The sequence below is a fragment of the Homo sapiens genome, chromosome 17 (assembly GCF_000001405.40).
Source record: "Homo sapiens chromosome 17, GRCh38.p14 Primary Assembly".
Classification (NCBI taxonomy): Eukaryota; Metazoa; Chordata; class Mammalia; order Primates; family Hominidae; genus Homo; species Homo sapiens.
Window position 1 is genome coordinate 9,703,140 of NC_000017.11, and position 24,131 is coordinate 9,727,270.

Genomic DNA, 24,131 nt, shown 5'->3' on the forward strand with positions numbered 1-24,131 from the left:
GCCCATATATATATTGGGAGGCATCTTTGTTACTCAGATTTTTTTTTTTTTTTACTAAGAGCGTTATGGCTGAATGAGTCCCCGTGCACACATGAGTGGTGAAAATAAGGACAGCTGGAACCTGGGCCTTGTCATTTCCCATGCTGAACGTGCTGCCTCCCCATCTATAAACTCACAGGGTGGCCCCACATAAATTAAGGGCAGTGATGTAAAACCACAGCAGGGAGTTAGAAGTAGCATAGGCGTGAGAAGCGTTGGCATCTGCCTTATCAAAAGCGAGATCCAGACCCCTCCTGGGGTGAACATTAAAGAGCAGAATGCCCGATTTTGGGGGTGGTGGTATGGCAGCAGAAGGGACGCAGTTCCTGGAAGGTTCCCCTTGCAGAGATCTCCTGGGTCAGTGTTTGCACACACAGTGTGCCACCACCTGCCAGGAAAGAGCCTGTTTAATACTAAAAGCAAAGGGAGAGGAGCCCAAGGGAAAGAGGGGACTGGCGAGGCGGTAGGCAGGGCAGTGTGTGCAGCCAACACAGCCCTGGGTAAGACCTGGGCCACTTGCTGTCATCGGTGCCAACATACACAATCTTTTCCCTGAAGACAATTTGCACTGCCAGTTAAATGGCAGAGTCTGGGCTTCAAACCTGGGCCACCCTGGCTCCAGGGTCAGTAGCTTCTGCCCTGCCGAGATGAGTGATTCCTGATATGAACAAGTCCCCAAGCCATGTAGGGTATTGTAGATGAGTGTCAACTCCCTCCTTTAGGTGAAGCTCACCCTCAGTGGCTTCCTAGGAAAGGGTGATGGGAGCTTGACCTTTGGAGTGCTTACGTGTCAGGAAATGCCTTTATTTCCACACCTGATTGATAGCCTGGTGGGACATAAAGTCCTTGATTGAAAATCAGCAATGTTGCTCCGTGTGGAATGGGGTCTGGAGTAGGGTTTTGCTGTTGAGAATGGGTCAGGCCAGTTTGATTTCTGTTCCTTTGTCTAGGATAGGATATATTTTTCTCTCTGGAAGCTTTCAGGTTCTTTTTCACAGGTGCTCTGGAATTTCATAGAGTGTGCTTACCTGTAGGTCTTTTTCATTGCTTGTATTGGGACCTGCATTTAGGGGACCTGTGTGTCTGCAGACGTGATCTTCAGGTCTGGGAAATATCTTTGTGCTTTTTTTTGTTTTGTTTGTGAGATGGAATCTTGCTCTGTCACCCAGGCTAGAGTGCAGTGATGTGATCTCGGCTCACTGCAATCTCTGCCTCCTGGATTCAAGTGATTCTCCTGCCCCAGCCTCCTGAGTACTTGGGACTCAGGGCTGGCCACGGTGGTGCTCGCCACCACGCCTGGCTAATTTTTGTATTTTTTAGTAGAGACAGGGTTTCACCATGTTGGACAGGCTGGTCTTGAACTCCTGGCCTCAAATGATCTGCCTTCCTCGGCCTCCCAAAGTGCTGGGATTACAGGCGTGAGCCACTGCGCCTGGCCTAGTCTTAGGTTTCTTTTTCAGAGCATCCTGGTTTTGTTTTGGGTCCTCACCTGGCTTGGCTTCTTGTGGTTTCTGACACGCCCAGTACCGAGCCTCTGGGGCTGTAGCTGGTGGGTGGCCCTCTTCCTACCCCCTGCAACCCCCCCACCTCCCCCAGGCACTCTGTGTTGAACCCCTTCCTTGCAGAGGCGAGTGTGTGACCTCCACTCCATCTGCTTGCTGGGCCCTCAAAGCTGAGCTGTTGCTTTCTATCTCACGTCTTTTGACATATTTGTTCCTTTTTAGTTATTTGCTTCTTGGAAGTGTGATAATTCTACCACATTTCAGATTTTTAGAAATCTCAAATGCCTTTTGTTTCATTTTAAATGTGGTAATGTGGTAAAATTTCATTTTAAATATAGGTAATGCATGCCTATATTTCAAAATTCACACGGCCTAAAAAAGATGGACAGTGACAAGTCTTGATTCTATGTTTGTTCCTCATCTACCCCCTCCTCATTTCTAGGTAACCATTTTTAGTAGTTTCTTGTGTACTATTCTTCCACAATTTCTTTATGTAAATACAAGCAATTGTGAGTATATTTTTCTATATACATATATATGTGTTGATTTTATATATTTCCTTCCCACCCCCTAATTTAAGTAAAAGTACTATTTACTGTGTTGCACCTGGCTTTTTTTTTTTTTTCTCTCTGAAAATCTGTCTTGGAAATCTTTTCATGTCCTCATTTCTAGACAGCTTCTCCATCTTCTTTTATAAATGTAAATGCACTAAATAAATATAACAATTTATTAAATACTCTGTAGATGGACATTGGACTGACTCATTCTTTTACTATTACAAATGTTGCTGTCGGCCGGGCGTGGTGGCTCACGCCTGTAATCCCAGCACTTTGGGAGGCTGAGGCAGGCAGATCACTTGAGGTTAGGAGTTCAAGACCAGCCTGGCCAACATGGTGAAACCCTGTCTCTACTAAAAATACAAAAATCAGCCAGGCGTGGTGGCGTGTGCCTGTAGTTCCAGCTACTCGGGGGGCTGAGGCAGGAGAACTGCTTGAACCCAGAGGTGGAGATTGCAGTGAGCCGAGATCACACCACTGCACTCCAGCCTGGGTGAGAGAGTGAGACTCTGTCTCAAAAAAAAAAAACAACAACAACAGCAAAAAAAAAACCCAAAAAACAAAAAAACACAAATATTGCTGTGATAACCCTTTAGATATGTCATTTTCTACATATGGAAGTTTATTGGCAGGATAAATTCTCAGAATTGGAATAGCTGTGTCTGTGTTGTAATAAGCACAAACAAGATGTCCTGCACAAAGGGTCATAGCAGTTTGCACTCTGTTAAGAGCAAGAGAACACCTGGTTCTCTATAGCCTCTCCAGTAGAGTGTGTGATCACACTTTTGGATTTTTGCCCATCTAATAGTAGGAAAATGGTATCTCAGTGTAAGTTGAATATTTAGGTTCTTAATAGTGTGAGCTTGAGCATCTTTTCGCATGTTTGAGCCACTATGGTTCCTTTCCTGTGAACTGTCTATCCATATCCTTGACTGTTTTTCAAATGAATTATTAGTCTTTTTCCCATCAATTTCTAGATGCTCTAATTCTTAATGTACTATGAGATTCACCTCTTTTCTGTAATATAAATTGCAAGTATGTGTTCCCTGTGTAACATCTGTCAGTTGGCTCTTCCTGTGGAAAATTTTTGCCATGCAGAAAGTTTTTATTTTTGCTTTTCTAGGTAAAATTATCAATCATTTCTTTTAAGTCTTCTGGATTATGAGTCATGATTAGAAAGCCTTTTTCACTCTAAGATTAAAAAGTGTTTTTCTTGAGTTTTCTACTTGGTTTTAGCTTATTACATTTAAATCCTTGATTTGGAGTTTCTTAATTTTCTTGAGAGAAAGAGATCCAACTTTATCCTCCGGGAGTTGCCAATTTGTCCCGAGATCACTACTGATGGAAAAGCCAATCTTGTTCCTTGAGATGCCATCTGCCCTATCAGATATTAATTTTTTTTTTTTTTTTTTTTTTTTTTTTTTGAGACAGAGTCTCGCTCTGTGTCCCAGGCTGGAGTGCAATTGCACGATATCGGCTCACTGCAACCTCTGCCTCCCGGGTTCTAGTGATTCTCCTGCCTCAGCCTCCTGAGTAGCTGGGACTACAGGCGGGTGCCACCACACCCAGCTAATTTTTTGTATTTTTAGTAGAGACGGGGTTTCACTGTGTTAGCCAGGCTGGTCTTGAACTCCTGACCTCATGATCTGCCCGCCTCGGCCTCCCAAAGTGCTGGGATTACAGGCGTGAGTCTCCGTGCCCAGCCTGGGATTTTTATGACTAGAACTAACATATGTAAGATGCTTCTCATATTGTAGGCCCCAACAATTGGTAACTTTCAAGCTGCCATATACTTTTACATAAATGCTATCATACCATAGATGTATTTTTTGTTTTTAGTGGATTTTTGTTTGCCATTTTACATATCAAAATAAACTTAAAAGATGTTAAATGAAATAAAATATGATGATGAGGCACTTGACTAAATGGCAAAATGAAACACTGGGTTCCATCATGACCTCCTGATGTGCGCATCCATTTACGTACGCGCACATGTGTGTTTATGTGTACATACATAGATTAAGACTAAACAGAATTTCATGAGTCGATAATTAAATTTACTACATGTGATATACCTTGGTCCATTCTATTCCAGAATAACATATTACTTAATTTTAAAAATGCTTTGGCCAGGCGCGGTGGCTCACGCCTGTAATCCCAGCACTTTGGGAGGCCGAGGTGGGCGGACCACGAGGTCAGGAGATCAAGACCATCCTGGCTAACATGGTGAAACCCCGTCTCTAATAAAAATACAAAACAATTAGCCGGGTGTGGTGGCAGGCGCCTGTAGTCCCAACTACTCGGGAGGCTGAGGCAGGAGAATGGCGTGAACCCGGGAGGTGGAGCTTGCAGTGAGCCGAGATCATGCCACTGCACTCCAGCCTGGGCGACAGACCGAGACTCTGTCTCAAAAAAAAAAAAAAAAGCTTTAAAATATTTCATTTTTTATTTATTAAACATTTTTTTTTAATGCACTGATTACCAGTGTCCCGATGGGCTGATGACTGGCAATTTGGAAGACACCAAACTATATAGAAATCCAGGATCTTTGCTCATTAATTCATTGCACAAATGTATATTAAGTACCTGTTCTATGCCAGGTCCTGGAGCTTCAGTGATGAACAAGACAAATACAAGGCCTGCCCTCATGGGACTTCAGTCTCACTTTGGAGACAGACAATAAAATGTGCTTATCATTTTAGCACTTTCACTACCTGACATTTTGAAAGGGCGACTGATTGACTGTGTCTGTGATAGACATAAGGCCTCTGCAAGGATGTCACATGTAGGCTCAGAGCTGAGGATGAGATAGAACTAGCTATGTGAATAATGGGATGAATTGCATTATGAGCAGAGCTCGTAGCATGTGCAAAGGCCCTGAGGCAGAAAGCATTCGGTGTGTTTAAGACATGATGACAGCCTGGATGAAGTGTAGCCATTCAGGGGTAATTGATGAAGGGTGGGGCTGGAGAAGTGGGCAGGACACTCTAGGCCACGGATGGGAGTTTGCATTTTTTCCAAAGGGGTGATAAATCATTTAAAGGTTCTAAGCAGAGGAGTGAAGACATAATCTAGTGTACAAATCAAACTAGTTGCTCTGCTGTATGGAGAATGTGTAGAAGGGATCTAGAGTGGAAGCTGGAATTCCAGTTAGGAGGGTGCTTCAGGGGCCGAGTGAGAGACACCACTGGCTGAGATGTTGGTGTTGACAATCAAGATATTCGAGACATAGTTTGGAAGTAGAATCAGTAGGTCTGGCTTTTGGATTAGGTGTGGGGCGGAACGGAAAAGCAAGAGCAAAGATGAACTCCTAGGTGGCTGGCTTGGATTAGTGTGGAGGTCAGCAAACTGTGGCCCACGGGCCGGATCCAATCTAGGGCCTGTTTTTTGTTGTTGTTGTTGTTTTTTGAGACGGAGTCTCACTGTGTTGCCCGGGTTGGAGTGCAGTGGCGTGATCCTGGCTCACTGCAACCTCTGCCTCCTGGGTTCAAGCGATTATCCTGCCTCAGCCTCCCAAGTAGCTGGGATTACAGGCGTGCACCACTACGCCCAGCTAATTTTTTGTATTTTTAATAGAGACGGGGTTTCACCATGTTGGCCAGGTTGGTCTCGAACTCCTGACCTCGTGATTTGCCCACCTCGGCCTCCCAAAGTGCTGGGATTAAAGGCATGAACCACCACGCCCGGCCTGTTTTTTTTCCCCCGTTTATTAATAATCTATGGGTTAAAAATGGTTTTTACAATTTTAAAAGTGGGAGAAAGACACGCAGAATATGCGACAGAGAATATATGTGGCCATATGTGACCTGCAAAGTCTCAATATTTGTCATCTGGTCCCTTATGGGAAAAGTTTGCAAACTTCCAGATTACTGGGTTATGCTGTCATTTGCTGACACGTAGAGGGCAAGGAAACGGATATTTTGTTGTCGTTACTTGAGAAATGGTGAGAATATTTATGAATTTTCCTTAGACGTTTGACTTCAGTTCTTAGAAAGAGGTATGCCATAAGCCCAATTGTGATTCTCATCTTCACTTTTATTGCATGCTTAATCAGAGATATGCATTTTGAAGCTTCTCAGAAGAAATGGGGTGAACGCTGACATTATTGTTTGGCTACCTAACTTGGGAGCTCCCTTTTATTTGAGATTTTGCCTGATGAAGGGGTAGAATATTCAACTTAAAATAACAGCACTCTTGGCCGGGCATGGTGGCTCAGGCCTGTAATCCCAGCACTTTGGGAAGCCGAGGTGGGTGGATCATCTTAGGTCAGGAGTTCGAGACCAGCCTGGTCAACATGGTGAAACCCCATCTCTAATAAAAATATAAATATTAGCCGGGTGTGGTGGCAGGCAACTGTAATCCTAGCTACCCAGGAGGCTGAGGCAGGAGAATCACTGGAACCCGGGGGGTGGAGGTTGCCGTGAGCCGAGATCGCGCCACTTCACTCCAGCCTGGGTGACAGAGCGAAACTCCGTCTCAAAAATAAATAAAAATAAATAAATAAATAAAAATAATAACAGCACTTGTTATAGTAAGAATCCGAGGGTATAACTTACTGATCTTTTCTGATTCCAAAAAAAATTCATTTCTGGCCAAAAATGGACTGTTTTTTTCTCATTCTGGTTTAAACATACCGCTTTTTCAGCTATGCCAGTGGGAAATGTCTTCCTACCTTTTGGGGCTCCAATAACTCAGACTTGGGGATGGGACCTTTGCAGCCTACTGCCGGAACTCTCTGGATGGCCAGTGGTACAGTTATGATGACAGCACGGTGGAACCGCTTCGAGAAGATGAGGTCAACACCAGAGGGGCTTATATCCTGTTCTATCAGAAGCGGAACAGCATCCCTCCCTGGTCAGCCAGCAGCTCCATGAGAGGTAGGTGCTGCTGCTCATGACAGGAGGGGGGTGTGGGGAAGTCACTTTAAGAACTGGGAAGAGGCTCAGTTGAACATCGAGGACCAGGAGAGGTTGGCAAGGATCTGAAAGAGGAAGCCCGGGATGCTGCTGTAGAAACCTGAGCTGCATAGACTGGTTGCTCATTTACCAGGGTGTGGGATGGATGGATTATAATTCAGGAAAGGGGAAAAGAATAATTGTTTGTATTCAGGGCAGGCGATGCTTGGCAGTGTGGTATTCCATATTCCTAGTCTCACTCATATCACAGCAGGTTTTTTGAGGTGTATGTAATGTAAACTGATGTCAGTCCTGTTGGAAAGGCAGGGCAGTTATAAAGGATGCAGGACTTTTCTAGGAAAGGTAGCTTTTTTTTTTTTTTTTTTTTTTTGAGATGGAGTCTCGCTCTGTCACCAGGCTGGAGTGCAGTGGCATGATCTTGGCTCACTGCAACCTCTGCCTCTTGGGTTCAAGCGATTCTCCTGCCTCAGCCTCCCGAGTAGCTGGGAGTACAGGCACGTGCCACCACCATGCCCAGCTAATTTTTGTATTTTTAGCAGAGACGGGGTTTCACCATGTTGGCCAGGAGGATGGTCTCGATCTCTTGACCTCTTGATCCACCCATCTCAGCCTCTCTAAGGTAGCTGTTTAAACACTGCTGCACTCAAGCAATTCATTTATTAGCCTCAAACTTGCTTGGAAGTCTAGAGAAAGAAAGTGCCAAAGCTGACCCTTTCACGTGATTTGTTTCATGCTGCAAACCAACTGTCCTTATCTTTGGGACAAGAGAGCATTAAAAAAAAAAATTAAGCAGATTTTCTCCTAACAGTTATCAGAAAATGGCCAAATAAATCCAAGAGTCCTCAGCAGGTCTAAACCAATCCTAACATAAGTCTAGCTTCCATTTATAGAAGAAGATGTTGAAAAAAGAATGAAAAACCTGTCCTATTAGAGAAAAGAAGTTTTTCTTACTGTCCAGTATAATAAAGATAATGTATCTTTATGGTGCAAAGTGTAGGCATCCTTAATGCCCACTGTAAAAGATTTGGTTTCCCTAAACTTGGGATAAACTCCTGTAACATGGCTTATTACCTGTTGAACTGTGCATGCTGGGGCCCTGGTACTGGTAATAAAATACTGTTACTCTGCCTCTGACTACAGCTCTGAGTAATACAGTACTTTGGCTCTGGAAAAAGAAACAAAAAACATATTTAGAATGCCAAAGCTGGTGATAAGTAATTTCATGGAAAGCATTTCAAAACTTGTCAACATACTTTCCTTTGTTGTTGTTGTTGTTTTGTTTTTTATTTTTTGAGACGGAGTTTCGCTCTTGTTGCCCAGGCTGGAGTACAGTAGCGCGATTTCGGCTCACTGCAACCTCCGCCTCCCAGGTTCACACAATTCTCCTGCCTCAGCCTCCTGAGTAACTAGGATTTACAGGCGCCCACCACCACGCCCAGCTAATTTTTTGTATTTTTAGTAGAGATGGGATTTCACCACGTTGGTCAGGCTGGTCTTGAACTCCTGACCTCAGGTGATCTGCTCGCCTCGGCCTCCGTAAGTGCTGGCATTACAGGCGTGAGCCACCGCGCCCAGCCCATGCTTTCCTTTTTGTGCTCAAATGCCTCTCCCTAAACTTTTAAGCTTAGTCACATGGGAAACCCGATCACAGGTTTCCCCTCTCCTTGTTGACAGGTTTCTGCAGTTCTGTTCTGGTTCTGTAGTTCTGGGGCTGAAGGATGGGGCCGGAATGGGGATCTGGTTGTGAGATGCTCCGCTAGGACTCTGAAGTGCTGGGGTTGGGCTCAGCCTCCCTCTCTGTGTTTCCTCCACAGGCTCTACCAGCTCCTCCCTGTCTGATCACTGGCTCTTACGGCTCGGGAGCCACGCTGGCAGCACAAGGGGAAGCCTGCTGTCCTGGAGCTCTGCCCCCTGCCCCTCCCTGCCCCAGGTTCCTGACTCTCCCATCTTCACCAACAGCCTCTGCAATCAGGAAAAGGGTATGTTGGTTAAATGTGCTTGGTTGATTTTCATTTTCTGTAATGTCTGTTGTTATTGCTCAGTATGAAAGCGCTGTCACTTCGTAGTCTTGAATGGAAAGGGTCCATCATTACGAGAGGTTTGTTCATCTCTTAAATGGGGTCTTCTATGACCTGCCCTTCCTTGCCCGCTTCTCCCCATCCTCTACCCTCCAGCCACAGGTACCTTTTCTCTGCCCCCGTGTAGCTTATTGTCATAAGCAAGTAAACCTGGGAACATGGTACTTAAAGAAGGGAGAATGGCAAAGAGAATCAGGGAAGAGGGTATTCAGGCCCGGGGTGGAGGAGGGAGGGTGCACAGGGCCCGGGAGATAGGACGGGCGGGTAACATCTTTCTAGGGGGTGACACTGAGCAGAGCTCTGAGTGAGAGAGAGTGACTTGTGTAGAAGCCTAGGGCTATGTTCCAGGAGAGGAGCCCTCCAGGGTGAAGGCTGGGAGTGAGCATTGGATGTGTGAGGGGCAGAAGAAACCAGAGCTGTGGCTGGAGCAGAGACACCCAGGAGTAGAGAGAGCAGGAGTGGACAGGGGCCATGTTAGAACCTACCTTTCTGAGCTAGAGGTATAAAGTTTGGACTCTATTCTAAGTGTAGTGGATAGCGAGTGGAGAGGTGTTTTTGTTTGTTTGTTTGTTTGTTTGTTTGTTAATGCTTCTGCTTTAATCATTGTTTTTAAAAAATTGACACATAATAATTGTACATATATTTGGGGTACATATGATAGTTTGATACATGCGTACAATGTGTTCATTACATACAAACTAGGGTATTTAGAATATACATCACCTCAAACATTTATCATTTCTTTGTGACGGGAACATTTCAAATCTCTCTAGCTGTTTTGAAATATACAATATATTGTTGGTAACTGTAGTCACCTTCCTGTGCTATTAAACATGAGAACTTATTTTATCTAACTGTATATTTGTACTTTTTTTTTGAGACAGAGTCTCACTCTGTCGCAGGCTGGAGTCCAGTGGCATGATCTCGGCTCACTGCAACCTCTGCCTCCCGGGTTCGAGCAATACTCCTTCCTCAGCCTCTAGAGTAGCTGGGATTACAGGCGCCTGCCACTACGCCTGGCTAATTTTTGTACTTTTCGTAGAGACAGGGTTTCATCATGTTGGTCAGGCTGATCTCAAACTCCTGACCTCACGTGATCTGCCTGCCTCGGCCTCCCAAAGTGCTGGGATTACAGGGATGAGCCACCGCACCTGGCCTATTTGTACCTATCAACCCACCTCTCTTCATCTGCCCCCATTCCCGGCCTCTGGCAACCATCATTCTACTCCCTACCTCCATAAAATCAACTTTTTTAGCTTAGAGTTTTGAGCAGGGAAGTGGTTGATCTGATTTATAGTTTGTAGAGAGTCTACTCTGGCTACTGTGTGGAGAAGACATCACAGGGGGCAAGAGTGGGGACGTAGGAAGATCATTCAGGAGACTAACATGGTTATATCCAGGTGGGAGACAGTGGTGGTTTGAACTAGCATGTTAGATAAGAGATGGTCAAACTGGATGTATACTGAAGCTGGAGCTGCTAAGATTTGCTGATGTGGGGTGTGCAGTGTGAAGGAAAGAGAATAGTCAAGGATGACTCCTTGCTTAAGGTCTAAATAACGAGGGGAATTGCTGCACAGTTAATGAGGTGGGAGAAAGTTGGGTAGGAACACTCCATTCTGGAGGGAAGTCAAGAATTTTTTGACACAGTAATTTTGAAAATCCTGTAAGACACCATTCCCCAGGCTTTTTGGCACCAGGGACCGGTTTCATGGAAGACAATTTTTACACACACTTGAGGTGAGGATGGTTTGGGATGAAACTGTTCCACCTCAGATCATCAGGCATGAGATTCTCATAAGGAGCATGCAACCTACATCCCTCACGTGCAGAGTTCACAATAGGCTTTGTGTTCCTATGAGAATCTAATACGCCTGCTGATCTGACAGGAGGCGGAGCTCAGGCGGTAATGCGAGTGATGGGGAGCAGCTGTAAATACAGATGAAGCTTCGCTCATTTGCTCACCACTCACTTCCTGCTCTGTGGCCCGATTCCTAACAGGCTGTGGATCAGTACTTGTCCACAGCCCAGGGGTTGGGGGACCCTGCTAAGACATCACATCAATGTGATAACTGGGGAGTGGAGAGAAATATTTGAGAGTCATCAGCACATGGATGGAACAGTGCTGGCTGAGCTCCCCTGGGGAAATAGTACAGATGAAAAAGAATGAAGGCCGGGCACAGTGGCTCACGCCTGTAATCCCAGCACTTTGGGAGGCCGAGGTGGGCAGATCATGGGGTCAGGAGTTCGAGACCAGCCTGACCAACATGGTGAAACCCCGTCTCTACTAAAAATACAAAAAAAATTAGCTGGGCATGGTGGCGCACGCCTGTAATCCCAGCTACTCAGGAGGCTGAGGCAGGGGAATCGCTTGAACCTGGGAGGTGGAGGTTGCAGTGAGCTTAGATCACACCACTGCACTCCAGCCTGGGCAACAGAGCAAGACTCCATCTCAAAAAAAAAAAAAAAAAAATGAAGACCCGAGACCAAACCTGGGGGCTCTCCAACATCTAAGGGTTGAGCAAAGGTGGAGAGGCCAAGAAAAGAACGGAGAAGGAGCAGCCAGTGAGGGGAAGAAAACCAGGTGAGTGTGGTTGACAGATGAAAAAAAGAGAATCTTAAGGAAGCAGCCAACTGTACTGGATGCTGCTGAGAGGCTGAGTAAGGTGAGGATGGGTAGATTCCATCAGGCTGGAAGGCCACCGGTGACTTGCCAGGAGCATCTGCCATGGCTGGAGAGAAGGGAGGCCTGCCTGCAGCAGGTGGACCAGAGGCTGGGGTGGAGGAAGTGGCAGTGTGTACACACTCCAGCAGGCGAGGTGACTGAAGGAAGGCGGGTTGACAGCTAAGTAGGAGATAGTAGAGACGCATTCAGATGATCAGGTCTACAGGGAGATGTTGATGACAGTGCTGGGAACAAGGGGGTAACCACAGAAACAAAGTCCTTAAGGCTGAGCGTTGTCAGATCACGCCTGGAACCCTAGCATTTTGGGAGGCCAAGGTGGGAGGATCGCGTGAGTCCAAGAAGTTAAGACTAGCCCTGGCAACATAGTGAGACCCCATCTCTATAAAAAATTAGCCAGGCATGGTGGCATGTGCCTGTTGTCCCAGCTACTCAAAAGGCTGAGGTGGGAGGATCTCTTGAGCTTGGGAAGTTAGGGCTGCAGTGAGCTGTGAGCACACCACTGCACTCCGGCCTGGGTGACAGAGTGAGACCTTGTCTCAAAAAAACAAACAAAAAAACCAGCATTACTATGTAAGAACTGTATGTCTGTGTATGTGTGTTTGTGCCTGTGTGTATGTCTGTGTGTGTGTCTGTGTCTTTGTGTGTGTGTGTCTCTGTGTGTGTGTCTGTGTGTTTGTGTCTTTGTGTGTGTGTCTCTGTGAGTGTATGTCTGTGTGTGTGTTTCTTGTGTGTGTGTCTCTATGTGTATGTGCCTGTGTGTGTGTCTGTGTGTATGTGTGTGTGTCTGTGTGTGTCTCTGTGTGTGTATGTGTGTGTGTGTGTGTGTGTCTCTGTAGGTATGTGTCTGCGTGTTTGTGTCTATGTGTGTGTCTCTGTGTGTGTGTGTCTGTGTATCTGTGTGTCTCTGTGTGTCTATGTGTATGTATCTGTGTATATGTGTCTGTGTGTGTCTCTGTGTATCTGTGTGTGTGTCTCTGTGTGTCTATGTATATGTATCTGTGTATATGTGTCTGTGTGTGTGTTTCTGTGTGTCTATGTGTATGTATCTGTGTATATGTGTGTGTGTCTGTGTTTGTGTATCTGTGTGTGTGTCTGTGTGTGTATGTGTCTGTGTATGTGAGAATGTGTTTGTGTGTATGAGTGTGCTTGTGTGTGTATTGTTTGTGCCTGTATGTCTGTGTGTGTGTGTTTGTGTGTCTTTGTGTGAGTGTGTGATCTTTAGCCTTTGTGTTCCTTCAGCCAGAAAGTGGTAACATGTTCAAATTATTTTTTTAGTTCCTTATTTCTTGTTAGGTCCTAACTTAGTTTTTTAAATACAATTTTAATAGAAATATTATATATACTTGTGATTAGTATACTTTACATATTGCATACAATTATATATATAAGTATATGTAAGTAAAGTATATTAATCCTTCAATACTTAAAGTATATTAAGTATACAGCTGACAAATTTTCATAAAATGAACATCCTCATATACCAGATTAAAAAATAGAATATTCTAGCACCCTGCTGCCTTGTATCTCTCTCAATCATGACTGTTTTAAATAAAAAACAGCTTGGAGATACATAGTTCTCTGCACAGAAATTTACTTATGAGAGAGAGAGCGAACTGTTGTCTGTTGACAATTGTCAATAAAAAAGCAAACACAGGGGTTTGAAGAAGAGGGGGTGCAGGGTGAGGTGGGGGAACTACCTCTTCCTTTCTGCAGGTTCATTCATGGGCTGGAATCTGTTGTGGAGGCTAGCCTTGTGGTCTGACCTGGAGAAATCTGGCCTGGTCATCAAGGGGAGCACCCTGAGTTGTTACAGATTTATGGTTTCTTGAGTTATTTATGGATTCTCCAAAAATCCAATGCAAGTTTTGTCATGAAGCTATCTGCAATGTCTGCTACTTGACAAATCTCCCCATTTCCCTTATTAAAATTTCTTACATTGAGCCAGGTGCGGTGGCACATGCCTGTAATCCCAGCACTTTGGGAGGCCGAGGTGGGAGGATCACCTGAGGTCAGGAGTTTGAGACCAGCCTGACCAACATGGTGAAACCCCGTCTCTACTAAAAATACAAAAATTAGCTGGACATGGTGGCGGGCACCTGTAATCTGAGCTACTCAGGAGGCTGAGGCAGGAGAATCACTTGAACCCAGGAAGGAGAATCACTTGAACCCAGGAGGTGGAGGTTGCAATGAGCTAAGATGGTGCCACTGCACTCCAGCCTGGGCAACAGAGCGAGACTCCCTCTCAAAAAAAAAAAAAAAAAAAGTCCTTACATTGTCAGAATAGTTTACATGTTTACATTTTGTATTGCGGTTCGGTTTCAGAGTTGTTTCTGGTTTGCAGCCATTACCAGTAGTCCTGTTATGAACATTTTTGATCCTGTCCTTGGTGTCTGCACGTCTGCATTTCTGTTGGGTGTATACTTAGGAGTGGAATTGCTTGGGCACAGTGTGTGTGTGTGTGTGTGTGTGTGTGTGTGTATTCATCAGCTGCTTATTTCTTTATACTTTATGTCATCATTTGTATCCAAGTACCCAATGCAATACAGCAGGCCTTTAAAAATGTCATTTTGTTCAGCGGTCATTTTGCTATAATGTTGATGAGAAAAAATAGTTGATTCCTGGCTGGGACTACTGGAGAATGCAGTTTGCTCATTCTCCCCATGTCTGCGTGGGTTTTCTCCGGGTGCTCCAGTTTCCTCCCACATCCTAAAGATATACCATTAGGTGATCTGATTGTCTGCACGGTCTCAGTGTGAGTGCGAGTCTCCCTGAAATGGGAGGGGGGCCTATCCAGGGCTGGTTCCTGCCATTCATGATCCTGAGCTGGAATAAGTGGGCAAATAATTATCTTACTCGTTACTTTTGTTAAATGTATGTATAGCTCACATTTTTTTTTTTTTTGAGGCGGAGTCTTGTTCTGTTGCCAGGCTGAAGTGCAATGGGGCGATCTCAGCTCACTGCAACCTCCGCCTCCCGGGTTCAAGCGATTCTCCTGCCTCAGACTCCCGAGTAGCTGGGACTACAGGCACGCACCACCACACCCAGCTAATTTTTGTATTTTTAGTAGAGATGGGGGTTTCACCATGTTGGCCAGGATGGTCTCGATCTCTTCATCTCGTGATCTGCCCACCTCGGCCTCCCAAAGTGCTGGGATTACAGGTGTGAGCCACCGCGCCCAGCCGTAGCTCACATTTATTTTAATGTTTAATAGTAGAAGTGTTTGGGTCTTTTTAGAAGTTTGGCGATGCTTTTGGGACGAGAAATATGCTGTAGGAGCTTAACTATTATTTATATCAATTAGTCTACGGGAAAATTGGTTTAGTTATATGTTGTTTTGCTTCAAGTTCAAGTTCAGGTTATTAAGAGCCTATCCGTGATGCTGCAAAGATTTACTACACCAGGCATGTACCAGACTCTGGTTACATATTTGTGAGTGAATAGAGATGATGATAGGATCTTAAAGCTACAAGTGGTTTTAGATTCTCATTGAGTCCACCCCTCTGGTTTACAGTGATTTATGTGTCAGAGTTCAGTTAATTCCTTCCCCAGCGTGTGGCATTTGGGCTGCCAAAATTTCATGAGTAGACATGACACTCATAGCATGTCTGTGCATCTTGGAGTTGTCTGATTTCCTTAGAATACGTTTCTGTGAGCAGTGGCTCACACCTGTAATCCCAGCACTTTGGGAGGCCAAGGTGGGCAGATCATCTGAGGTCAGGAGTTTGAGACCAGCCTGACCAACATAGAGAAACTCCATCTCTACTAAAAATACAAAATTAGCCGGGCATGGTGGTGCATGCCTGTAATCCCAGCTACTCAGGAGGCTGAGGCAGGAGAATTGCTTGAACCCGGGAGACGGAGGTTGTGGTGAGCTGAGATCGTGCCATTGCACTCCAGTCTGGGCAACAAGAGCAAAACTCCGTCTCAAAAAAAAGAAAAAGAAAAAAAGAATCCGTTTCTATGCAGGCATACTATTTCATGCAGTATGTTTTGTTTTGACTTGTCCTGGCTGGACATTTCTTTTCCCCTTATATTTTCATGATTGCACATTTAAAATAGTGTCTATGGCTGGGCACCGTGGCTCATGCCTGTAATCCCAGCTACTCGGGAGGCTGAGGCAGGAGAATCACTTGAACCCAGTAGGTGGAGGTTGCAGTAAGCTGAGCTCGCACCATTGCGCTCCAGCCTGGGCAACAAGAGTGAAACTCCGTGTCCAAAAAAAAGTCTCTACAACAAAAAAGATGTTCTTTCTCAAGCTCATTCATCCCTGTCAGCATTGCCTATGATAAGCTCAAAAGTTCATCCCAGCTCTGTTTAACGGCAAAGTACCTCAGGCCATTTCTCAGTTCTCCCAAGGAGAAATGTGCTTGATATCCTCCCAGGAGGAGGCGATTTCAAAGGATGGTCCAAGTTTTTCACATGGTATTCAGACAGATGTGAGGCACAGCTCTAGAAAAACTCCTCAGAGACCCCTGAGAGGCCTGGGGGAGGGATGATAACTGTCCTGCAGACCCTTGCAGGCATTTTACTCGCATTCTCTAATTCAGTCCTCAAAACCCTTGGGAGAGGTGACCTTATAGCCCTACCAAGGGGATATCTGAGATTCGGTGTGAAGCAACCAGTCGCACCTAGTTGTAAAGCTCACCCCTAGAAAGTGGTGGGGCTGAAATAGACCCGTTCCCTCTGGGTGCCAGGTCTTGGCTCTCAGGCTCTGTAGACATACATTCCAGATTAGAGTCGCTTTCACATGGAGAGAGACTGCAAGAGCCTTGCTTCCTAAGGGAGCTTTCCCTCTTGGAGTTTGACTAAAATAGTGACAGATTTTGAAAGCTGTTTTAGAAGTTCTGAGACGGTTGAAAAATCCAGCGTTTGCTGGACGTGGTGGCTCATGCCTGTAATCCCAGCACTTTGGGAGGCCGAGGCAGGTGGATCACCTGAGGCTAGGAGCCCGAGACCAGCCTGGTCCACATGGCAAAACCCTGTCTCTACTAAAAATACAAAAATTAGCTGGGCATGATGGCACATGACTGCGATCCCAGCTACTCAGGAGGCTGAGGCTGGAGAATCACTTGAGCCCAAGAAGTGGAGGTTGCACTGAGCCTTGATCGCACCACTGTGCTCCAGCCTGGGTGACAGAGTGAGACCCTGTCTCAAAAAAAAAGAAAGACTAGGAAGCCGAGGCAGGCAGATCACTTGAGGTCAGGAGTTTCTCAATAGCTTGGCCAATGTGGTGAAACCCCGTCTCTACTAAAAACGCAAAAATTAGTTGGGCATGGTGGTGTGTGCCTGTAGTCCCAGCTACCTGGGAGGCTGAGGCAGGAGAATCGCTTAAACCTGCAAGGTGGAGGTTGCAGTGAGCCGAGGTTGCGCCACTGCACTCCAGCCTGGGCGACAGAGACTCCATCTCAAAAAAAAAAAAAAAAAAAGAAAGAAAGAAAAGAAAAATCCAGCTTTTTTTTTTTTTTAATTCTTACTAAACCTGGGCAAGACAAAAATCTAGCATATCAGTTTTCAAATAGTGGTTGGTACCACCTCTCCTTCCCACTATCATGAGTTTGCAAATATGTAGGAGAGGGTGTTTTTTGTTTTTTGAGATGGTGTTTCACTCTTGTTGCCCAGGCTGGAGTGCAGTGGCGCAATCTCTGCTCACTGCAACCTCTGCCTCCCAGGTTCAAGCAATTCTCCTGCCTCAGCCTTCCAAGTAGCTGGGATTACAGGCATGCACCACCACGCCCGGCTAATTTTGTATTTTTAGTAGAGACAGGGTTTCTCTGTGTTGGTCAGGCTGGTCTTGAACTCCCGACCTCAGGTGATCTGCCCACCTCGGCCTCCCACAGTGCTGGGATTACAGGTGTGAGCCACCACGCCCAGCCGGGTTTTTTTGACGGTCAAAATTAATAGAGGTGACTACTGGCATTTATTCCCCGGGTGGGGCGCAAGGATGCTAAGTGTCCTGCAATGCCCAGGAGCAGCCCCGCTCAGTAAAAAGTCACCACTGCAAAGTGCCAGCAGCTCTCTGTATAGAAATGCTGACAGCTTGAGAACACCACCTTTCCGGTAGCCCTGGTTATGATCATCATAATAATGAAGGAATCTTAAACCAAAATGAACGGATCCAAGTGTTTTGGAGACTGCAACTTATATAATTGAGGTGGGTGTGGGGGAAGGTTCCAGAAGAAAAAGAATATTACAACATCTTACTTTTGCAATTTTTATACAACCATGACCATGTAAAAAAAAATGGCTAGGAGTCCTTCCCAGAGACCCCTTGGTAATAAGGTGCCCTGAAAGTTAAGCTTTCACAGCTTCTCAGTATGGGCGCTTCTGATGATAAGTTTCCTCTATGGCTTTTATTGGGCCTCAAAGGTTTTGTTTTTCTCTTTTTCAGCACTTTCCAGATAGTATTTCATTTCGGTTTTGATTTCTTCTTTGATCTAGAAGTTATCTGGAAGTCTCAACTCTTTCAGATTATTTTGGTCAACTTTCTTCTTTGATTTTTGTGGATTGTGATCCAAGAATGTGGTTTTCAAAAATTATTCCCTTTATGGAGTCAGACGTGCTACCATTGCGCCACAAGGTCACACATTAGTCCCTTTTTGTGGTCAAGTACATGATTACTATTTTGTAAATGCTCTGTGCATGTATAAACTAATGTATATTGTCTATTTGAGGGATGTGAGCTTTATATCATAACTATTAAATTAGGTGAGTTCATTGGCTATTCAAGTCCCCTATGTCTTTAAATGTACCTTCTCTGGGACTCCTGGCAGGAAGGAAATATAATGAAACCTTCCTGTATAGCTGTATTTTTTTTTTTTTTTTTTTTGAGACCGAGTTTCGCTCTTGTTGCCCAGGCTGGAGTGCAATGGTGTGATCTCGGCTCGCTGCAACCTCCACCTCCCAGGTTCAAGTGATTGTCCTGCCTCAGCCTCCCCAGTAGCTGGGATTACAGGTGACAGGTGCCCGCCACCACACCCAGCTAATTTTTTTTTTTTTTTGTATTTTTAGTACAGATAGGGTTTCATCATGTTGGCCAAGCTGGTCTCAAACTCCTCAGGTGATCCACCTGCCTCAGCCTCCCACAATGCTGGGATTACAGGCGTGAGCCACTGCGCCCAGCCTAGCTGTACCTTTAATCAAGTAATCCTTGCATTTTAATAATTTTCGCTTTATCTTGTTAGCTGCTTTGTTACTAGGTGTCTACGGGTTTATGACTGTTAGATCTCTTTTATAAATTGTGCTTTTTATTATTATAATGTGGCTCTTTATCCCTGCTTAATGTTTTCAACCTTAAATTCTACTTTGTCCAAGTTTAATAATCCCACCCTTTTCTTCTTTCTTTTTGCCTTCTCTCTTTCGCATTTGCCTGCTATCATTTTGCCCCTCTCTTGGGCTTTAGGCACCTTTCCTTTTGAGTTAGTTTTAAGTGGTTTCTGGTAAACAGCCTGGTGTTGGGTTTTTTGTTTTCTTTTTACCAAAAATTCAGAGGCCGTCTTATAATTGGAGCCTTCAGTCCATGCCGATGTAATGTAACAGCTGCGAAACTTGATTTTGTTCATTTCGTTTTTAAAGATTTTATATGACTGTTTCTTCTTTTCCTTTCCTTATTGTTGCTGATGCGAGCGAGTCGCGCTTTGTTTCCTGGTTCATTGGGAAGTTTTGCCGCTCAGGTCACAAAGTAGCAATTTGTTAATTGCTACTTTCTCTATCCCAGTATTTAGAAGCCAGTTATTTCCTGCAAGGTGCTCTCTTTCACCACTGTCTTCTCTCCTTCCTCCAATCAGATGAGAAATATATAACACATCTGTTGTCACTCTTTTCCCTGTCATTCCCCCCAAAATGAGAGCTTTGAAAGACTTTCATGTGCCCCTTCTGGTCTCTTTTGCAAACTCTTAGATTTTGCTGACAGGGCCTAGTACTTTCTATTCCAGACTTATCAAAATTCCCCTCGCAGCACTTAGCTTTATGTGACACATTCTGAGCCGTCTGTCCTGCATGTAGGGTGGTGGACAGTACATGGATTGCAGTGTCCACTGTGCACCACTATTTTTCTCCTCTTTGTCACCCCCCATCTTGAGGTGGTGGGTCTGGTTCATTCGAGTGTGTGTGATACGTTCTCAAAATCTTTGCCCAGCCACAAATATTTCCTTTCACTTGGGAGTGAATGGCAGCTTGGCTGGTTGCACGACTCTTGAGTCGCAGTCCTTTTCTCTCAGGCATCTGAAGCTGTTTTCCCACAGCCTCCCAGGCCCCAGGGTTGCAGGTGAGAAGCCCAGGCTTTTTTTGTTTACAGGAGAGTCACTTGTTTTTTTCTGGTGGGAAGCTTTTAAGATGCTCCCCTTGACCTTGGAGTTTAGAAATTCTCCCAGAATATGCCTAGGTGCGGGTTTTTGTTCTTCAACCTTACCTAGAACTTGGGGGTGCCTTTTGTTCTACAGACTCAGGCCTGTCTTTAGAGAAATGTCTTTTGGTTTTTGTTTAATGATTGTCTCTCCTGCTTTTGACGTTTTTGTGATTTGCTGTTGAGTCTCCTGGATCTATCTTCTGAGTCTCCTGCCTTTTCCCTTGTAGTTTCTTGCTCTTCTCTTTTCCCTTCCCTTCCTTTCCCTTCCCCTCCCCTCCCCTCCCCTCCCCTCCCCTCCCCTCCCCTCCCTCCCTTTTTTTTCTTTTCTTTTCTTTTTTTTTTTGAGATGGAGTTTCGCTCTGTGGCCCAGGCTGGAGTGCAGTGGTACGATCTTGGCTCACTGCAACCTCCCCTTCCCAGGTTCAAGTGATTTTCCTGCCTCAGCCTCACGAACAGCTGGGATTACAGGTGCGCACCACCACACCTGGCTAATTTTTGTATTTTTAGTAGAGACGGGGTTTTGTATTTTTAGTAGAGATGGGGTTTCACCATGTTGGTCAGGCGGGTCTTGAACTCCTGACCTCAGGTGATCCACCCGCCTCGGCCTCCCAAAGTGCTGGGATTACAGGCGTGAGCCACCGCGCCCGGCTTCCCTTATAGTTTCTATCTCTTGGTCAGTCACGTTTTTCAGTCCCTGTTTTTTCATTATCTTCCTTGAGATGCAAGTTTGTTGATCATTTTAAGCTGTCACGTTTCATCTGTTTCATCAGCAGCCTGCTCTGATGGTTCTGGTGATTATTCTTCTCTGACCGCCAGACCCCCTCATGCGTGTTGCTGTTTTCTTTTCTGTCCCACCCTCTCATGTATGGCAGTGGCTCTTGGAGTGATGAAAAGGGCAGCAGCTTTGGCTCCCAGGGGCTGGTGGTGTGACAGCCAGCCTTTTTCTTCCCCGCTTCGTCCTGCTGGTTCAGTCTTGGAGATGGAGAAGCTTCAACTCATCGGTGTAGCTTTTTCTTACCTTAACGGGGACCAGAGGAAAGTTGGGGGGTAGGCTTGTCCCAGGTTGCACTCTGACCTCCACGTGGAAATGGTCATCAGGCTGTGAAGTAATTGTACTCGGCTCAAGAAACATCATATGGGGCCCAGCATGGTGGCTCACGCCTGTAATCCCAGCACTTTGAGAGGTCGAGGCGGGTGGATCACCTGAGGTCAGGAGTTCAAGACCAGTCTGGCCAACGTGGTGAAACCCAGTCTCTGCTAAAAATACAAAAATTAGCCGGGCGTGGTGGTGGACGCCTGTAATCCCAGCTACTGGGGAGGCTGAGGCAGGAGAATCACTTGAATCCGGGAGGTGGAGGTTGCAGTGAGCCGAGATCACACCACTGGACTGCAGCCTGGGGGACAAGAGCGAGACTCTGTCTCAAGAAAGAAAGAAAAGAAAAGAAGCATTGTATGGTATCATGTATTCTTGCTTTTGCCAAACCTCATAAAGACAGGTGCACCATATTCTTTTTCCTTCAACTGTATCCCAAGCGTTGAAGACAGTCCTTGGCACATGGCATGTGCTTATTAAATATTTTTTGAAGGAGTAAGCGGGTAGATGTATGAAGCACGATGGAAGCCCTTGAAGAGACAGAAGGTGCTCAACTAGGAAAAGTCTTGTTCTGTGGCGGGGGGCAGGGGGGCACTAAGCATGGCACCAAGAGGTCCCCAGCCCTGTTCACAAAACACCTGAGTATGGATTGATGCATACTTCATTGGCCAAAAATAAAAAAGTCATGTAGAAATCAAGGTGGCCACACAGGGACAGGAACAGATGTGGCCGTTCTCAAAGCAGCATCTGCTGGCTCCAGAGCTGCGGTGTGGAGGGGGTGTCAGGGGACTGAGCCTGTCAGCTGCACTGGTGCCATCTGCATGGAGGGGGCTCTTGTGGGGTCCAAAAAGCACATTATGAATGCTGTGGGGCTTTATAACCTTCAGGAAGAACCTAACGGCCTGTGTCTTTAATGCAGTGTAAGGCTCTAGGCTCAGACTGGCTGGAAACAGAATCTTCTCGGGGTGGGGTGGGGCGGGAGTTGAACCAGAGTTAGTGCCCAGGGGTCTCTGAACACCACTGTGTTCAGCATCTGTCTCCCAGCATCCCAGAAGTTTTGCCCATCTCCCCGGGGGAGGGGTACCAGGACTTGCACCCACCCTAGACGGGAAGTGACTTTGTAGAGAGGAAGTGTGATGTGAGCGTGGGGGCCTCTTATTCCCTTCTGTTCTTATGCTGCTTATTTCTCAATTTTATTAAAGCCATCACTGTCTCAGATCCTGTTATCCTAGCCCAATAAATGGAAGGAGAATAAAGATAACAGGGGTACTTTTTCACTGCCATCTCGAGAAAGAGGAGACACGAGTTCCGTGGGCATCTGTGGTTCCCATGAAATGTAGCTCAGGCGTTGATGTCAGCCCTGGCCTCAGAGACTTTCCTACCAGGAAGAAAGGAAGAACTGCTATTTCGGGCAGCTGCCAACTCCTCTCGCCACCTGCCGGGGCTCCAGGCAACATGCTCTCATTTTGAAAGGCTAAAAGTCACAGCTTTGTCCTACTAATACAAAGCGTCCCTTTCTGCCCTTCCCAGGGCTGTGGAAGAGAAAAAAAGAAATAAACTTCACACACATCTCAGACCCCAGAACATTTCTTCCCCACCCCCCGAGGGCTGGGAATTTAATAAGGTCAATCTAAACCAAAATTACAGAGTATTTTGGGTAAAATTGTGTCTATGACTGGCTAATCTAAAGAAATGCTTTGAGGAAAGAAAAAATCAAACATTCTTTATGAGAAACCTGGAAAGTCACATCCTTGAGATGCTTTCTAACTCCTTTTGGAGGTCATGGGCTTTCGGCTTCTTCCTGCTCCAGCCATTTCTCCAGGGGTGCTTGGTCGATGTGCACTTTGCCTCCCCCGCGTTCCTGCAGCATTCACTCCCCTGCACCTCATTCTTTTGCCTTTCCTGAGCTCTCACCCGTGCACCTGACAATCTCTGGCCCTTCTCTGTGTCACACATCGTGTTGGCTGTGCCGCTGACAGGGGGCTTTTTATGGCAGGAGTTCTGCTCCCTTTTGGAGCTTCTCTGTTTCATTGTTCATTCAGGCTGTTAGAACAGAATACCACGCCTGGGCAGCTTATCCACAACAGACATTTCTTCCCCACAGTCCTGCAGGCTGGAAGTCTGAGATCAGGGTGCCAGCATGATGGGGCCCTGGAGAGGTTCTTCCCGGCTGCAGACAGCTTCATGTGTCCTCACATGGCAGGAAGAGAGCTGGGTAGCTCTTCAACCTCTTCTTAGAAGGTCACTAATCCCATTCACGAGGGCTCTACCCTCAAGACCTAATTACCACCCAGCAGCATCACCCCCTTAAACCATCGCCTTGGGGACTAGAGCTTCAATGTATGAATCTCAGGGGACACAAACCTTCAGTCCATAGCACCCTCAAACACTATGATGAAGTGGCACAGTGAGAGTGGCCACCCGTGGGGCAGACTTCAGAGGTCACCCTGCAACCTTTCTCCAAATGTGTGTGACTGTCCTTGCGCCATGTAGGTTGTGTGTTTCAGTTGCGCCAGGTGGATTGTGTGTTTTAGCTGAAGATTTCTTTCTCAATGATTGCAGACATCATGTAAAACAAGGCATTTTAATGGTACAGTGACTGATGACTGAGAATTTCTTTCTTTTTTTTTTTGGAGATGGAGTCTTGCTCTGTCACCCAGGCTGGAGTGCAGTGGCATGATCTCAGCTCACTGCAACCTCCACCTCCACCTCCCGGGTTCAAGTGATTCTCCTGCCTCAGCCTCCTGAGTAGCTGGGATTATAGGCATGTGCCACCACGCCCAGCTAATTTTTGTATTTTAGTAGAGATGGGGTTTCACCATGTTGGTCAGGCTGGTCTCGAACTCCTGACCTTGTGACCCACCTGCCTCAGCCTCCCAAGACTGAGAATTTCTTAAGCAAAAATACACAACCTTGGTT

The 24,131-nt window shown here is 45.8% G+C and overlaps 1 protein-coding gene across 8 annotated transcripts in view, besides 1 other annotated feature; it reads left to right on the forward strand.

Moving 5' to 3' along the window:
• The window catches only part of USP43 (ubiquitin specific peptidase 43), an 84,428-nt gene that overhangs the window by 57,880 nt on the left and 2,417 nt on the right, over window positions 1–24,131 (forward strand). For 7 of the 8 annotated variants that reach the window (XM_017024159.3, XM_047435319.1, NM_153210.5 and 4 more), the window contains 2 exons: window positions 6,817–6,975; window positions 8,829–8,993. In XM_017024159.3, coding sequence (XP_016879648.1) covers window positions 6,817–6,975; window positions 8,829–8,993 — 324 coding nt within the window. Of the gene's footprint in view, window positions 1–6,743; window positions 6,976–8,828; window positions 8,994–24,131 lie in introns of those variants that run through there. The other variant, XM_047435320.1, reaches the window with a different exon arrangement.
• Window positions 5,709–5,873: a silencer, noted in NCBI's record as "fragment chr17:9612165-9612329 (GRCh37/hg19 assembly coordinates)". NCBI's record gives its function as "represses an EF-1alpha promoter that drives an FKBP-Casp9 reporter gene in an ReSE screen in K562 erythroleukemia cells {active_cell/tissue: K562}" and the evidence as "EXISTENCE:reporter gene assay evidence [ECO:0000049][PMID:32094911]".